General features: G+C 45.7%; 1 protein-coding gene across 22 annotated transcripts in view, besides 6 other annotated features; it reads right to left on the reverse strand.

Moving 5' to 3' along the window:
* FGFR2 (fibroblast growth factor receptor 2) overlaps positions 1 to 16,937 on the reverse strand; it is a 120,129-nt gene that overhangs the window by 99,399 nt on the left and 3,793 nt on the right. For 21 of the 22 annotated variants that reach the window (NR_073009.2, XM_024447891.2, XM_024447890.2 and 18 more), the window contains one exon: positions 15,981 to 16,239. Coding sequence is in view for 21 of the 22 variants with exons in the window: in XM_024447891.2 (XP_024303659.1) it covers positions 15,981 to 16,146 (166 nt within the window). In the remaining variant the exon portion in view is untranslated. Of the gene's footprint in view, positions 1 to 15,980; positions 16,531 to 16,937 lie in introns of those variants that run through there. The other variant, NM_001144916.2, reaches the window with a different exon arrangement.
* Positions 1,887 to 2,181: a silencer, noted in NCBI's record as "tiled region #8577; K562 Repressive non-DNase unmatched - State 22:ReprW". NCBI's record gives its function as "represses a minimal TATA promoter and a strong SV40 promoter by Sharpr-MPRA in K562 cells {active_cell/tissue: K562}" and the evidence as "EXISTENCE:reporter gene assay evidence [ECO:0000049][PMID:27701403]".
* Positions 2,487 to 2,781: a silencer, noted in NCBI's record as "tiled region #287; HepG2 Repressive non-DNase unmatched - State 3:PromF, and K562 Repressive non-DNase unmatched - State 22:ReprW". NCBI's record gives its function as "represses a minimal TATA promoter and a strong SV40 promoter by Sharpr-MPRA in HepG2 and K562 cells {active_cell/tissue: HepG2 | K562}" and the evidence as "EXISTENCE:reporter gene assay evidence [ECO:0000049][PMID:27701403]".
* Positions 2,487 to 3,286: a biological region, named in NCBI's record as "Sharpr-MPRA regulatory region 287".
* Positions 2,507 to 3,286: an enhancer, noted in NCBI's record as "OCT4-NANOG-H3K27ac-H3K4me1 hESC enhancer chr10:123339749-123340528 (GRCh37/hg19 assembly coordinates)". NCBI's record gives its function as "activates a minimal SCP1, AML or CMV promoter by ChIP-STARR-seq in naive and primed H9 embryonic stem cells {active_cell/tissue: H9 hESC(naive and primed)}" and the evidence as "EXISTENCE:reporter gene assay evidence [ECO:0000049][PMID:30033119]".
* Positions 3,287 to 4,065: an enhancer, noted in NCBI's record as "NANOG-H3K27ac-H3K4me1 hESC enhancer chr10:123340529-123341307 (GRCh37/hg19 assembly coordinates)". NCBI's record gives its function as "activates a minimal SCP1, AML or CMV promoter by ChIP-STARR-seq in naive H9 embryonic stem cells {active_cell/tissue: H9 hESC(naive)}" and the evidence as "EXISTENCE:reporter gene assay evidence [ECO:0000049][PMID:30033119]".
* Positions 16,177 to 16,705: an enhancer, noted in NCBI's record as "H3K4me1 hESC enhancer chr10:123353419-123353947 (GRCh37/hg19 assembly coordinates)". NCBI's record gives its function as "activates a minimal SCP1, AML or CMV promoter by ChIP-STARR-seq in naive H9 embryonic stem cells {active_cell/tissue: H9 hESC(naive)}" and the evidence as "EXISTENCE:reporter gene assay evidence [ECO:0000049][PMID:30033119]".

Genomic DNA, 16,937 nt, shown 5'->3' on the forward strand with positions numbered 1-16,937 from the left:
CCACCTCCTCCCCGCAGATGCCACTCAAGTCCCTGCTTGTAGGTTCATATTTCCACCTGCCCGGGGGGAGGAAATACATAACCTGGATGTCTACAGAGGTCGTATCCAAAACAAGCAAGTGACCTTCAACCTCCTCCTCCTCCACCAGCCTCTTCTCTTACACGATGAAGGGAGTCACACCACTGAACTGCCGCCCAAGCTCCAAGTCGGCCCTGAAGCCCCTCTTTTCCTCTGGCCCTTCCTCTGATCAGTCCCCACACCCCTTCACCTATTAGGCCTATCCCTGATAGAAAGCTTAGCTCTGAAAGAAAGTACAGGCAAAACTGCATCCCACAGGTCTCCTCCAGTCCTCCACAAGACCTCTGCAATGCGCCTAACCCATCACCCATGGTGCGCCTCTTGTAGCCACCGCAGACCCCCAGAGGAATCTTCTGAAAAGCACATGATCTCTACTCTTTTAAAAAGGCACAGACCACTCCAAAGTCAGAGAGAATAAAACCCAAAGAACATCATGGCGCATTGAGGCTTGGTTGCTCCAAGCCCCACATCCCTCTCTCTGACACTCTGGCTTACCTGTCCACATGGGCACTGTTCCCTCTACCTACAAGCCCACCCAGCTCTGCTGCCTGGCAGGCTCCTATTCAGCCCAGTTCCAACAGCTCCTCCGTGAAAATCCCGATTCCCATTAAGACACTGCACTGCTCCCATCTCGTCCTGTTCAGCCTCTAGGACATGCACAGCCAAAGACAGTCTGCGTCCCCAGCCCACTCCACCCAAAAGGTGTACGGAGAGGGACTGGAGTAGGGATCAATGCAATGTTTCTCAGACTTTACTGTGCGTAAAACCACGTGGTCAGTTTAAGACAGCTTCCTTGCTCCCACTTCCAAAGATGCTGGGTCAGCTGGGCGCTGTGGCTTACGCCTGTAATCCCAGCACTTTGGGAGGCCAAGACAGGTGGGTCACTTGAGGCCAGGAGGTAGAGAACAGCCTGGCCAACACAGTGAAACCCTGTCTCTACTAAAAATGCAAAAATTAGCCAGGTCTGGTGGCAGGAGCCTATAATCCCAGCTACTCGGGAGGCTGAGGCAAGAGAATCACTTGAACTTCGGAGGCAGAGGTTGCAGTGAGCCAAGATTGTGCCATTGCACTCCAGCCTGGACAACAAGAGCAAAAGTCTGTCTCAAAAGGAAAAAACAAAAAAAGATTCTGGGTCAGTAGGCCTGCAGGTGCGGGCTGACATTCTTTATTTCCCACAGGTGAGGCCTGATGCTGCTGGTCCAAGACCCACACTACAAGAAGTTCAGCTCCAGTGTCCAAGGATGAGACTTTGAGACCCGCCTCTGCCAGTAGTGAACGTGTCAGCTTGGACAGCCTCACACCGCTGAGCCTCAGAGTCATGCTTTAGAGAAGAGAAAAACATCTCCAGTGCTGCCTGCTGCAGGGCAAGGTCACCACAAGGACACAATCAAAGGCTGCCTAGGAAGGCCTCTGTATATTTAAAGTGAGGGGCACGTCTGAGAGCAAGCACTCCTCATCCTGGCGGGCGGTTGGAGGTAGTGGGGGGTCCCCATCCTGCAACTCAGCCCTGGCCAGGAGGGCAGTCCTGGGTTCCTGTTTACGGGGCGTAACTGGCCTGCAGATTGCTTTTTCCAACCATGTGAGAGCCTCTATTCGCATTCCTCTGACTTCAAAACAGGTTTTCTTTCAAGTGAACAAATAGGTCTCATCACATATAAGTTACCTAAATGAGGATTCCTGGAATGTTCCCAGAGACTAAACATCTGAAGATTTTGTGAGATTCATCATTATCAACACCCATGTATGATGCCTGTTTAATTTACAAAGAGGCCTGTGGCTTCTTAAAATACCTTCTACTATTCATCCATCCAACACATTTGAGAGTAGCTGATATTTGCATGTGGGGCACAGTAACACACCACAGAATTCCCTTGAGATGAGAACCCCAGCAGGGCTCAGGAGCCGGATAACTTACCCTAGCCCCACAGCATGCCGAGAATAACCCTGCAAACACCAAACCATGGGCAAGAGTCCCCACAGCTGTGCCTCACGCAGTCCACAGAGCTAAGGGCCTGCGTTACTGCGAGTTGGGGCGGCTGGCCTGCATTCCAGAGAGCATACCCTAAAGCCTGACTCATTCCAGAAGCAGGTTTTCAGGGACAGTCACCTTGCCACACTTACTGTTACCTGTGGCTCCTAGAAGCTGCTGCTGGGACAAGCTCACCTCCCTGATATTGATGTAAACATTCAATAAATGGTGCATACTCCAGCGGATACGTTTGCCCTGTATGGCCCTGAAAGGTCAGATAGATGTCCAGATCCCGTTTGACATTTTCCCCCAAGCCCATAGAGCAGGCCCTCCCACACTGCGCACTTTCTGAATAAAGAAATACTTTTAAAGTGGCCAAGGCTACAAAAGAAAAGGGAAGGTTAAGAGTTATTCCAGGAGGGCAAGGCTGCCTCCTGCTTTCTCAACTCAGGACCTTCTGGGGGTACTGTTTGGCAAGTTGATTTAAAGGGCTCGGCCTTTCTTCTCTCAGCAGGATCTCGGTTCCAACACTCCTTCAGAGTCTGCAGATGTGTCCCCGCCTGATCCCCTCAGCAGCATCCCAGCCATTTGCAAATGAAGCAGCAGCAGCTGGAGACTGGGAAACAGATGGTCTTCCTCATTTGAATGGGTTTGAACGGTCTGCTTGAGGCTCACCAAGTTCAGGCCTGGCCAGCATCTCGAAACCCGTGCAGACGCCTGAAGGCACAGAGTTGTGGCCTGGGGAGCCGGCAGCAATCAGCTGAATGGGAATGACCTGGAGGAAAGGTTCCCCACACTGCCTTCGGGTGGGCGGGACACGGTCCCAGCTGGTTTTGCACCGCAGGACCCAAGGAAGGCAGGTCGGAGCCACAGGGATCACTTTTCTCCTGTGTTTTGCAGAGGAAAGAAAAACTCTCCCTCAGGGGATCCTGAGCCAGAGGACTGAAACCCACATTAATTCAGGACATTCCACGTTAAGAGCCGGCGCCATCACAGTTAACCTTTCTTCCCTGCTCCAAACCGCATATTTGCATAGAGGTAAAAGCTTCAAGAAAACAAACAAACTTTGAAGAGTCACTACCTCTCACAATCCTCCAAAGCAGCATTCAGAGGGAAGCTTTAGATCTCAGAAGGGCTGTGCGCCGGCTCCCACGAATGTAGGCTTTCTGGGACAGGGCATCCCCCAGGCGAGGCACCTGGGAGGAGGCAGAATCCCATCCTGCCCACACCTGGCCTGACTCCCCTGGCCGCCCTCCGGCCATCTCTCTGCCTCCACATTGACCTGGCAAGAAACTCTGCCAATTAGAGGTAGTAACAGAAAAGAGATAGGAAGCAGGCTGAAATGACCCACTCAAATACGGCCTGGAGGCCGCCGGGATGCCCTTGACCGGCCTCCTCACTCGCCACACCTTCAAGGGCAAGCACCTCACAGGAGGGGAGAAGAGGGGCCTCTGAGCCCAGCTGCACGCATTCACTCAACGGCCTCTGCTCCACCTCCATCAACATCAACAGGTGAAGCCAGCAAGGGACAGCAGAGAGGCTAGGCCCTGGAAAATCACCTCACTGGACAAGGGTCAACCTAGCAGGCAAGGTGGCTGGTACTGATGAGGGTCAACCTTGCAATGCAGGTGGGTTTGCTGGGGAATCCAGGTGGGTGCCACCTCCTTAAGGGGAAGACCAGCCTCAGGTGTGGTGGCTAACACCTGTGATCCCAGCACTCTGGGAGGCCAAGGTGGGAGGATCGCTTGAGCCCAGGAGTTTGAGACCAGGCTGGGCAACAAGTGAGAACCCATCTCTACCAAAAAAAAAAAAAAAGAAAAAAAGAAAGAAAAAAGAAAAATCAGCCTGCGCCTATAGTCGCAGCTACTCAGAAGGCTAAGGTGGGAAGACCGCTTGAGCCCAGGAGGTCCAGGATGCAATGAGCTGTGATTGCACCACTGCACTCCAGCCTGGGTGACACAGTGAACAGAGAGAGACCCTGCATTTAAAAAAAAAAAAAAAAAAAAAAAAAGCAGCAGCAGCAGCAGCTTCATAGTCCCAGTCCCTGGGAACTCCTAAACATGGGGCACATGCCTCCGGCCCATGCTTTTCCTTCACAGAATCTTCACCTTTGACTGGACCTAGCCCTTCATTTTTTATTTTTGTTTATTTATTTTGATTTTTTTTTTTATTTTTGAGACAGAGTCTCACCCTGTCGCCCAGGCTGGAATGCAATGGCGTGATCTCAGCTTACTGAAACCTCTGCCTCCCAGGTTCAAAGATTCTCCTGCCTCCGCCCCCCAAGTACCTGGGACTACAGGTGCCTGCCACCACCCCCGGCTAATTTTTGTATTTTTAGTAGAGACCACGTTTCACCATGTTGGCCAGGCTAGTCTCAAACTCCTCACCTCATGATCCGCCCACCTCGGCCCCTCAAAGTGCTGGGATTACAGGCGTGAGCCACTGCACCCAGTCCTAGCCCTTCATTTTTGCAATTATTTGACAAGAGCCTGTCTCCCCCACTCAACTGTTCATTGCTTGCTATTCCATCCCCACAGAACCTGGCACATAGTAGGTCTCAAAAATTATTTGGGGAGCAAATGGATGAAAAAACTCAAAGAAACCACAGCAATTACCCTGCAATCTAAAAATCATGTTTATACCATCTTGCCTCTGCCAAGCTCTGAAAGTTGTCATCGCACGGGGAGCTGCAAATTTAAGAGGGAAATTTGCAGCATCTCCTAGTCAAGAACTCTACGGCCAGGTGCGGTGGTTCACACCTGTAATCCCAGCACTTTGGGAGGCTGAGGTGGGTGGATCACCCGAGGTCAAGAGTTCGAGACCAACATGGTGAAACCCCAGCTCTACTAAAAATACAATTAGCCGGGCGTGGTGGTGCACATCTGTAATCCCAGCTACTCTAGACGCTGAGGCAGGAGAATCGCTTGAACCCGCGAGGCAGAGGTTGCAGTGATCCAAGATCGCACCACTGCACTCCAGCCTGGGTGACAGAGCAAGAGACTCTGTCTCACAAAAAAAGAAAAAAAAGAAAAAGGAATTCTACAACTTTCCTCCAAAACTCAACTCCCACTTGGAAATGCCTGGAACCCCTGAGTGTTCTGCAACTGCTGTACAGGTAGCCAAGAACAAAGTTCAGCTGCCTAAACCAGCCTCGATTCACCTACACATTAGCTGGTACTGGAGTTCACTTTTTATTTTTAAATACCAAACTGATCTTTGCTTGCTTTAAAAATGGGCTCCATTCCCTGGCCTCTTTTTTTCCCCTAAGGACACCCTTTCTGGCCAAGACTGGAAGAAGAGTAGGTGTTTCTGCTTTTGGCCTTTTCATTCTTGGAATTTTTTCTTTTTTGGCTTTCTTAGTCTCTCCTCCTAATCTCTGCAGAAAAGTGACATTAGAAGGGTCAGGTAGTCCTTGGTGCTTGTTTCCATGACCACAGTTCGTGGGAGTCCCAAGTACAGGGGTCTGTCTATGCAGGTAGGCCTTGACTTCATACCCAGTCGTAAATCAGAAATTCTGGGAAGAAAAGCTTGACATAATATCCAAGTGGCAACAGCTGAGGGTTAGCAGGCACTAGGACAAACCAGCAGAGGCATCTGGGACAAGGAATAACTGGGGACGGCCTGCTCTGCTGAGATGGCTCATGCATCAACGGGCAACAGAGGCCAGCCCTTCTTGTTATGGACTCCTACGGTGTGGCGCAGCCTGGACCACCAACTGGGACCCAGTCTCCCATTGGTCTCCTTGGCAGCAGTCAGGGTTAGCCTCTTTCCAATAAGTCACATGCCACCAGAAGCCATTCTAGAAGAATCACAAAGTATAATCATTAAACATTTTTATTGTCTGGAATTTTTCTTCAAATGTCTTTAGGAGAATTCGGTATGGATGTGTGAGAAAGAAACAGAATCAACCAGCAGTGTCCCTAACAGGTTTAATAGTCAAACGACAGATTTAGGAAAGAATGAGGGGTCACCACATTCTCCAGCAAAAAAAAAAAATCCTCCTGCTCAGGAAGAAGGGAAATTTTTCTTACACCAACACATTCACCCAAAGACCTGGGCCCACACTCACTAATGATGAGGTCCTGGAGGAGTCACTTGATCCCCAAGAATTTCAGTTACCTTGTCCATAAAATAAGAACAGGAAAACCCAAGATGTTCTGGGTTATTAAGATGAGAGATAATATATGTTAAAGTACCTAGCACAGAGTCCAACCATGACAGGCACTCAATAAATGGTAGCCAGTTATCATCATCACCATCATCATCATCATCATCTCAAGGAATGGGCTAAAGAAACGTGACCTCATCCATACTGCCCCTACTTCATAGCCTGTCCTACCAAGTAACCTCCATAGGGGTATCATGTGCAAATGCTTGTTCAGCTCCTGTCCACTTCAGTACTGTGGGTCCCATCACAATTTCCTTGAGCTCCCTTCCATGCAGACAAAAATCTCATCTAGGAGTGTTCAGGGGAGGTCACTACAGGCAAACATGGCAAGGATGACCATACCATGTTATGGAGCTCACCTCTCCAGCCTGGCCAAAAGCAGAACACACCACACCGCACCCCACCCCAACCAATCCCATAACCCCTCTCCATCCCGCACCCCACCCCAACCTATCCCATAACCCCTCTCCATCCCACACCCCACCCCAACCGATCCCATAACCCCTCTCCATCCCGCACCCCACCCCAACCGATGCCATAACCCCTCTCCATCCCGCACCCCACCCGAAGAGATCCCATAACCCCTCTCCATCCCACACCCCACCCCAAACGATCCCATAACCCCTCTCCATCCCGCACCACCCCAACCGATCCCATAACCCCTCTCCATCCCGCACCCCACCCCAACCGATCCCATAACCCCTCTCCATCCCACACCCCACCCCAACCGATCCCATAACCCCTCTCCATCCCGCACCCCACCCCAACCAATCCCATAACCCCTCTCCATCCCACACCCCACCCCAACTGATCCCATAACCCCTCTCCATCCCGCACCCCACCCCAAACGATCCCATAACCCTCTCCATCCCGCACCACCCCAACCGATCCCATAACCCCTCTCCATCCCGCACCCCACCCCAACCGATCCCATAACCCTCTCCATCCCGCACCCCACCCCAAACGATCCCATAACCCCTCTCCATCCCGCACCACCCCAACCGATCCCATAACCCCTCTCCATCCCGCACCCCACCCCAACCGATTCCATAACCCCTCTCCAATGTTCTTCGCCGGGCCTAATGGCAATGTGGCAGAGTATTTTGTATTTTGAAGCTTCAAACAGAAAACTCTTTTGCCAAAATACATTGTTCCTCATGAAGTATGTGTCTGCTGTTATTATTACAGAGCTGCAACTGACTTTTTTCAACAGAGGGGAAAAAAAATTTCAACCTTGAACCATTTGGACTGCAAGCAGCAGGATGATCCCATTTCTAAAATCCATGGGACTTGCAAAAGCCCAAGATAATAAAAAGGGTTGGACAAATCCAGGGCCTAGAGCCAGTTTTACATTTTAATTAATGTAAATGCTTCTCATCAGACAATTATCACTATACACTGTAGAGTAAACATCTTATTGGTCCAGGAAATATTGGTAATATTGTAGAGTAAACATCTTGTTGGTCCAGGAAATGTTGACAGGAAGTGGGACAGGGAAGAAATCAGCATTTAATGAACACCTACTCTGGGCCAGGAAATTCAGTAGGGGCTTTACATTTCATTTGCATTTAATCTGCACATTCACCCTTCAAGATAGATACTATCTCTGAGGCTCAGAGAGGTTATCTAACTTTTCTGAAATCACAGCATCAGTAGATAGTAGAGAGATTCAAACCTACCTCCCAAGGTCAAGTTCCCTCTGTTAGTTTATGTCTCCAGAAAGCATACCACATGCCATCCAAAATGATTTTATTCAATTCTATTTTTAAGAATGGCTGATACAGAATTTAGATTAAATGCACAGAAGATTCTTGTTCTTTTAAAAATTTGAGTGGTTTTAAATTTGAAACATTTATAAATGTCCACGATATATATTCAGTTGTGCGTCTATTGCAGCCAGGTAGAAATGCAACATGCATTGGTGGAAATCCAGGAGGCTTAGCAGGACAAGAAGGCTCCTTAAGGCAGCCACACATCTTTGGGGGCAATCCCACTGTCAACTGAAAATCTGAACTTTAAGGGTGTTCAAAGAGTTTAAAACCTAAACTTAACCATTGCAATGATCTTGACATTCATTTTATAGTACACCCCCCTGAGCACATACACACACCATAGATACACACAGTTGGCCTTTTCAATGTCTGGATACTTTTAAAATATTACAACTGGTCACTATGGAAAATTTAACAGTAAACTGTCAGGTATACAAATGGGTCACATATAGTAATATAGGAGCTCAAGGGTTCGAAAATAATCACGATAATTGATATAGAGTTTATTAACGTTAGAGCTCAGAATTGAGTCCTCTCCAAGAAAGGCGCTACATAAATCATACAAATAAATACATCCCTTGTTCTCGTTCTTGAATCTATCAGCATTTTCCTTATAAGCTATTTTTAGCCTCCTCATAAAACACATTCAGCATAACCTGAAACTCTATATGTGTGCATTCCATTCTGAAATGAATTGGAATTTACCATTCTTTAGTTAGACAAGGGGTTAAAGGAAAGAATATACAACAGCTTAGCCCCCTGACTTGGTACTGTCAAAAAGAATCAGAAGTTTTTGAGAGTGGCATGATGTGGCCAAAGTCCACAATGGCGCAGAATTACTTACAGTATTCCAAAGTGGAGTAAATTACACATTCAGCATCTGAAAGCTCTTCCATGGTACCGGTTTCCCAAAACCAAAATTACTGAAAATCTAAAGCACGCCTATTTTACTTGACACACACTCTTCAAGGATGGCCATGGCTTGTCCCAATGATTCATACTTGTGTATAAATATTTAAATGGTAAGAGCTTGAAGTTATATAAATAGAAGTCAGCTACCACATACAAATCACAGTGAGGAAAGAGAAACTTGTAAAAAGTGTGACTTTTGTCTATTACAGAAGGAGACATCTTCAAGACGTGAAGGATCACCACAATGACCTGTCCAGCATCTTGTTCAATCAGACCTCTCCTTAAAAGAACTTAGCCTCTGAATAGCCAAGGCAATCCTAAGCAAAAATAACAAAGCTGGGGGCATCACATTACCTGACTTCAAACTATACTGTGGGGCTACGGTAACCAAAACAGCATGGTACTGGTATAAAAACAGGCACGTAGACCAATGGAACAGAATAGAGAGCCCAGAAATAAGGCCACACACCTACCGCACACCTACGACCATCTGATCTTCGACAAAACTGATGAAAACAAGCAATGGGGAAAAGACTCCCTATTCAATAAATGGTGCTGGGATAACTGGCTAGCCACATGCAGAAGATTGAAGCTGACCCCTTCCTTATACCATATACAAAAAATCACCTCAAGATGGAAGAAAGACTTAAATGTCAAATCCAAAACTATAAAACCCCGGAAGACAACTTAGGCAATATACCATCCTGGACATAGGAATGGGCAAAGATTTCATGACAAAGACATCAAAAGCAATTGCAACAAAAGCAAAAATTGACAAATGGGATCTAATTAAACTTAAGAGCTTCTGCACAGCAAAAGAAACTATCAACAGAGTAAATAGACAACCTACGTAATGGGATAAAATATTTGTAAACTATGCATCTAACAAAGATCTAATGTCCAGCATCTATAAGGAACTTAAATTTACAAGAGAAAAACAAATAACCACATAAAAAGTAGACAAAGGACATAGACACTTTTCAAAAGAAGACATATATACGTCCCACCAGCATATGAAAAAAAAAGCTCATCACTAGAGAAATGCAAATCAAAACCACGATGAGATACCATCTCACACAAGTCAGAATGGCTATTAATAAAACGTCAAAAAATAATAGATGCTGGTGAGATTGCAGAGAAAAGGAAACACTTATATACTGTTAGTAGGAGTGCAAATTAGCCCAATAATTGTGGAAAGCCGTGTGGCGATTACTCAAAGAGGTAAAAGCAGAACTACCATTCGACCCAGCAATCCCATTACTGGGTATATACCCAGAGGAATATAAATCATTCTACCATAAAGACACATGCACACAAATGTTCATTGCAGCACTATTCACAATAGCAAAGACATGGAATCTACCTAAATGCTCATCAGTAACAGATTGGATAAAGAAAATGTAGTACATATACAACATAGAATACTATGCAGCCATAAAAAAGAGCAAGATCATGTCTTTTGCAAGAACATGGATGGAGCTAGAGGCCATTATCCTTAGCAATAAACCAAATACAGAAAACCAAATACTGCATATTCTCATTTATAAGTGGGAGCTAAATGATGAAAACTCATGAACACAAAGAAAAGAACAACAGACACTGAGGTCTACTTGAGGGTGGAGGGTGGGTGGGAGGAGAGAGAGGAGCAGAAAAAATAGCTATTGGGTACTGGGCTTAATACCTGGGTGATGAAACAATCTGTACAACGAACCCCCATGACACGAGTTTACCTACATAACAAACCTTCACATGTACCCCCAAACCTAAAATAAAAGCTAAATTTAAAAAAAAAAAGAACTTGGCCTCAAGTTCTTGACCAAACTACACTAAGAAGGCAAGTCAGGGAGGAAGATGGTGTGGTAAAGATGGGGTATGATTAGCAACACCAAGCATTTCAATGCTAGGAAAGCTAAAAAAAGTAGAGCCATCTCTAAATCTCATGGGATACAGCAAAAATCTCTAAATCATATGGGATACAGCAAAAAGATGGAAAAAAATGCAAAACTTAAGGCTAGGACAGGTGTGGTGGCTCACACTTGTAATCCCAGCACTTTGGGAGGCCAAGGCTGCCAGGAGTTGGAGACCAGCCTGAGCAACATGGCGAAACCCCATATCTACGAAATATTTTTAAAAATTATCCAGGCCTGTAGTCCCAGCTACTCAGGAGGTTGGAGGACCCCTTCAGCCCAGGAGTCCGAGGGTACAGTGAGCCACGTTTGACAATGCAGTGAGGGTACAATTGCACCATTGTACTCCAGCCTGGGTGGCAGATCAAGACTCTGTCTCAAAAAACAAAAACAAACAAAAAACCAAAGGCTAAAATCATCTCTCAAGGAAAAAAAAATAGAGACCATAAGCATTTTGCACAGTTGCATAAAACCTACTGGATCAGAATTATCTGTGGAATAGCCTAAAAAACTTCCAAAAAATAATTTCTGAACTGCCTACAGAGATGTCCCCCTGGCGAGAATCGGACCAGTACAGTGGAGAGTAGCACACCAGCTATATTTCCTACCTAGCTTAACAGCCAGGCACCCAAAAATCAATTTCCCATGTTTTCCTTTAATGACTAAAATTCGCTTCCATGGAAATGTAAGGGTAAGCTAGATTAGAGGGAGTTTTTAACAATTACCCTGGCTAAACAAACACCTAAACAACAGTCTGCAAACTGGAAGACTAGTGGATACATTTTATTGAAACTACGAACATTAAACAAAACACTTCCAGTTTAAACACGACCCCAGTTATTTCATAGCCATGTAATTATTTGTTAAGTCTGATATTAAAAACATCTCATATTGGATTGCTGTGGTTTTGTGAATTCTCACCCTCAACTGGGTCAGAAAGACTTGAAAGGAATAAAGTCTTTACTTATGGCTTGATGCGGGGCCATTGGCATAGTAAGTGCTCTGTCTTTTAACTGGTTGAAATAAACAGACAAAACAGAAACACACACATATACCCCAAATTTGAATCAGAGAGAGCCAGTATAAAATGATACAAGTACCAGTTCTCTGGGCTTGCCAGATTTCTGCTCTATAAGTAATATTAAACATGGCTCTTGGTCTATGAATTGTGAAACACTTTATATACTAATAAAGAATGTGTACTTCATTGTGTATTTAACTGCGTAAGCCTGTATTTGGTTTAATTGACCAAGAATAAGTCCTTGTTCCAAAGCTAACTATCAAGTTACAGTCAACTCTTAAATATTAACACTCATATTGAAAAACAAAGATGCAGATAATACGAAACAGAAGATTATTTTAAATCATTCACTCTTGGTATGCGGATATATTCTTTCTTCCTTTCTTTTAACTTGCAATTAAATGCGTATGGTTAATATTATGGCATTTACAATACTTCTAACAAAGGACTTAAACCATACTGGAAAAATCTGACTTAGGGAGGTCTCTGTGTAGATCCTGTCCTCGACGTTTCTGCTACTGAACTCTGGACCAACTCACGTTGGTCCAGGAGAGCATCACCTCTCAGAAGATTGACAAAAAATTGCTACACAAACTACATTTTTTTTCAGGTTGTTACTTTTCAGAGTCACACTCTGTGGAGGGTGGGAAAGTAATTAAGGGTGTAGGGTTGAAAAGCCCTTTCATTTTAGCTCCTACTGGGTTGGTGTAAACAAAGATGCCATTAATGTCAACAATGACTTAATTAACCAGAGTAGGTGACAATGTCAGGAAGAACTTGAAAGTAAGAGTTGCCCCCTCTCAGGGTAATCAAGCTTGACTAGACTTCAAATATTTATAATGTTAATCAACAGAATAGTACTTGGCATTGAGGACTGCCCCCCTTCGAGTCAATAACCATGTTTTCACTCCTCTGCTGGTGCCCTATAACAATGAATGACCAAAAGGAAATTAACAATGAATGACCAACTGGAAAACTCATATTTAATCTGAAATATTAAAAACTAAAATCTTCTAGAGATTATTTTCTTAAGTCAATTGAGTGGGCCCAACCCCACTGCTACTATTTCAGAACGTGTCCAGAAGACAAATGATATATATGATATATGATATGACATATGATATGATACGATATTGCACAAAGCCAAGATGACTAAACATAACCTTTCCCTGAGGGGCCAAAAGAAAAGGACCCTCTAGTGTTAGGGCCCAGGCTTCTTCCTGGAACTTCTCAGTCACATTTTTCTCCTATCCAATAGACATTATCTAAACTGAGCTTCCAAATAAATTAGCAAACCAAAAAGTCTTACAAGATAAGACCTTGGTGCACAGAAGGTCAAGGTGGAACTTACTGCTAACCAAAGCTATAGTAGTTCTAATCATGGAGAACTGATGGACAGGGGCACAGGCACGCACGCACGCACGCGCACTCGCGCACACACACACACACACGCACACTCTCTCTCTCTCTCTCTCTCTTCCAATTCACCAGCACAGAGCCTAAACCTGAGCCCATTTTCAGCTGTTAAAAACTCCTTTCTCATCTATAATTCAATGACCTTCCTAATCACCTCTGACACCAAAGCGAACTCCTGCAACAGAAGAACTGGTCTTAGGGCTCAAATCAGTGGCCAGTATTAGACTAACAGATGAGGGGAAGTGGGGACCCTACAGAAAGCAAACACAGCTTCCTGGAAACACCAAGGGCCTCCTCCATCCAAAAACAACTTTCTTCTCAACTGTCTCCAAAAGCCTAGATGTTTTTTGACATTGTGGCACCTGGCACAGCCAGCCCACGGGACTGGGAAGACCCATGTTCCCAGCTCCCTGGCGACAACGGCGACAAGGCCATGCACCCGGTGCTTACTGGATGCCAGCCCCTGTGCTAATTGCTCTTTATGTCCAGGTCAAATGGAAATCTCCTAACAACCTTTTGGTGGAAGAGTCAGAAGACTTCTGAGGACATTAATATTCAATGACTATTAATGAAGAGACCCTAAAGATCATCTTCTTAAGCCCTCAGACGACAGAAAGGGAAACTGAGGCCTGGGACTTGTATACTTTTCCAAAGCCTCTTCTTTGCCAGGTTTTGCACCTTCCTCTAAGACATCTTTTCTTTTCCATCTCATAATTCTGGATGCAAATGAACTCATAGCTCATGGAAACTATAAACCCATAAAAATGCACAAAAGGACATTAACAAAATATTACCTAAAATTTCCAGAACTTCATCGACCTCCTTCCTGATCCATAAGTGCATCCACAGATCCCAGGTTGAGCAGGCCTGCTTCCAACAATACCCACATTGTTGGATGTAAATTCTTACACAAAGACTCACTCGGGGAACTTCGTCCCTTTCCACGATTTCTTCCCTCTGCCTCACCTGTCCCTCCCTGCATGTATACACAATTTTAAACTTCCTTCAAGAATTAAATACAGTAAAACAAATCCTCTGGGACCATTTTACACTTTATGTTGAAATAAACTCACAATAACGCTGCCCTGAAAAGCCAAAATGAAAAATGACAGTTTTTCCCTAACCTGGGTTGCTCCTAAAGCCCACACCGTAGGAAATCCCAGCTCAGCTTCCTCAGTTTTTGCCGAGCCACGCACTCAAGGGAAAACCAGCAATCACGGAAACATCCATTTTAATTATTAGCAAAATTAAAGACGTACAGGCATGACTTTCAGAAACCAGGAACTTTTTCCCTCTTACATGAAAGCCCTGTAAAAATGCATCACCACTGCAAATTACACTCATCCTGGTGTCCCAGCACAAATCACCAAGAGGCAGTTCCATAATCGGCCTGTAGCTGTAGCTATACAAGCCTCAGACACAAACTCCTACCAGATTCCCTTCCCAGAGACGCAGGGAGATGTCACCACACCTGTTAATTATAGAGCTGCCATCCCTCTGTGTAACGAAAAGTTCCCCAGTCTCACACGATTGCTTCAGGTGATAAGTGCTTCGGTCCTCATCCTTCAATGACAAGTGCCTGGGGTCTTCCTGGGGAGCCCATGTCTCTCAGAACTCTCATCTCAGATGGACGCAACCCTCCTTCCTAAACTGTCCTGATCCAGCTAAGGAGGCTGGGCTCTCTGTCCTCTCCCAGCCTACCCCACTGGGTAAGTGTGCTGTTCATTCACCCCACGCACGAGATGTGTTCCCAGAGCAGCTCAGCTTACCCCAGACACCACTCGGACTGCTGCGGGTTCCTAAAGCCAGGCAGGCACCAGGTGGACTCTCCACAAACAGGTTCATTAAGTGGCGATGAGTGCTGGGATCTGCCGTTTTATTCTCGGATTACCACTCGAAAAATAACTCAGCTACCAATATTCCCTACTGATGACAGATTTCAGTGCAGCACCAAGTAGAGGCTTGGCTCACGTTGTCTCCAAAGGGCTGGGAGAGAGGTTCCAAATCTGCTAAGCTGAATAATTCAGCCTCATGTAGTCCTCGTAATTGGACTTACACCTTGAAAATTAAATTTCCAAAGCTGTGACACCGGCGCATGCCCTGTGATACTTGGAGGTTCTCGGAGCTGGAGGAGATCCCCTGGCACATTCACTTTCAAGTTTACCTAAACTAGAATCTGCCACTCTGTGATGATGCATTGCTTAAGTATTATGAATTACAATGGCTAAAAAAAAATTCTGAGATGTCAAGCCTCTCTCTCTGTGCTAAACTTCAGAAACTTCTTTTCTCCTTAAACAATGAAAATAAGATGTCAGCATTTCAGATGTTGGCAATTTCTTTTAGTGGTTCATCTTGTCCGAAAATAGCAATTCTTTACATTGTAAGCAGTAGGAATGATGCTGGGGGAGACTAGAGATGACATTCATCCTCCCAAGGTTCATCCCTTCCACAGCTCTCTCGGGCACTGGATAAAGGCCAACTCCCAGCTGTCTCCCTCACCCAGCACAGAGAAACACACACAGCAAGAAACCACCAAACTATACCATCCTGCCTGCAGTGCTGCGGCAAAGGACCTTCTCTCATCAGCTCTGCCTTGCCGGGAGCCAAGAGACCACGATCTGGTGCTCTTAGAAGCCCCATTTACAATGCAAGGGTAGCTGATTCTAAAACAGGCCTTAACAATCTGCCCCCAGACAAATCCCAAAACAAACCTGAAAAGTGAAATTAAATGACTTACCTTCTGGCTCTAATGTGGTATCCTCAACTAAACTGAAGGAGGGCCGGGCCAGGGACAAGGTTGCCATGGTGACCACGACCAGGCAGATGAAACGACCCCAGCTGACCATGGTTACGGTACCAATCCCCGGTCCTCTTCCATATCTCCATGTGGACGTTAATCCCATCTGCACACTTCCTCTACGGGCATGGACTACGCGCAATGCCTTCAGCCTGCGGTGGGCTCAGGAACCGAGGCGCTGCCGCTGCTGCTGCAGTCACTAAAGGAAAGAGATTGGCGAGTCAGGGAATCTTCCCCAATGCCAAATCACTCCAGCCCAAGTGGGATAAAACCATTTTTCAGCCTCTCAAATGTGCGCAAACAGAGTTCTTTTTCATTATCTGCTAAATCCTTCCATCCTCACCTCAGAGTCCCAGGTGATACCACCAGACCGGTCCACAGAAATGTGTGAGGCTAATCTTTTTAAAAGCATACTTTTAAGAAACAGAGATAAAACAGTAGCTACAGGACTCAGATACGTGCAGCCACTTCAGTGAGGCAATGTGTGCTCTCTTCTACTATCCACTATCGCCTCCACCGCCCTCAATGAGCAGAAGCAACGTGACCTTAGTTTCAAGGGCAACTACAAAAGCAAGTTAAAAATGCTCGGGTTGGCATAACCAACCTCGTTCCCTTCTCTTAGTCCAACTGGGCTTTAGAAAGCTAAACTGTTGGAGGAGTCTGCTCACAGCTCCGTATTTCTGCTGGGCTGGAGGTGAGCAGTCTCCCACCCTCACTGTCGCTCTTGGGAAGAAAGGAGACCAGCAAAATCAAAAGAATCCCAGGAAGGCTACAGAAAATTCCCACCAGTTTACACTTGTCAGGATTCATTTTCAAATGGAGAAGTGTCTTTCAGTCTTCCGCCAAGCAGCCACTTACGAAGAGTGAACACAACTGCAGCGCATTCAACGCAGCTGA

Source organism: Homo sapiens, chromosome 10 (genome assembly GCF_000001405.40).
Source record: "Homo sapiens chromosome 10, GRCh38.p14 Primary Assembly".
In the NCBI taxonomy this organism is placed as follows: Eukaryota; Metazoa; Chordata; class Mammalia; order Primates; family Hominidae; genus Homo; species Homo sapiens.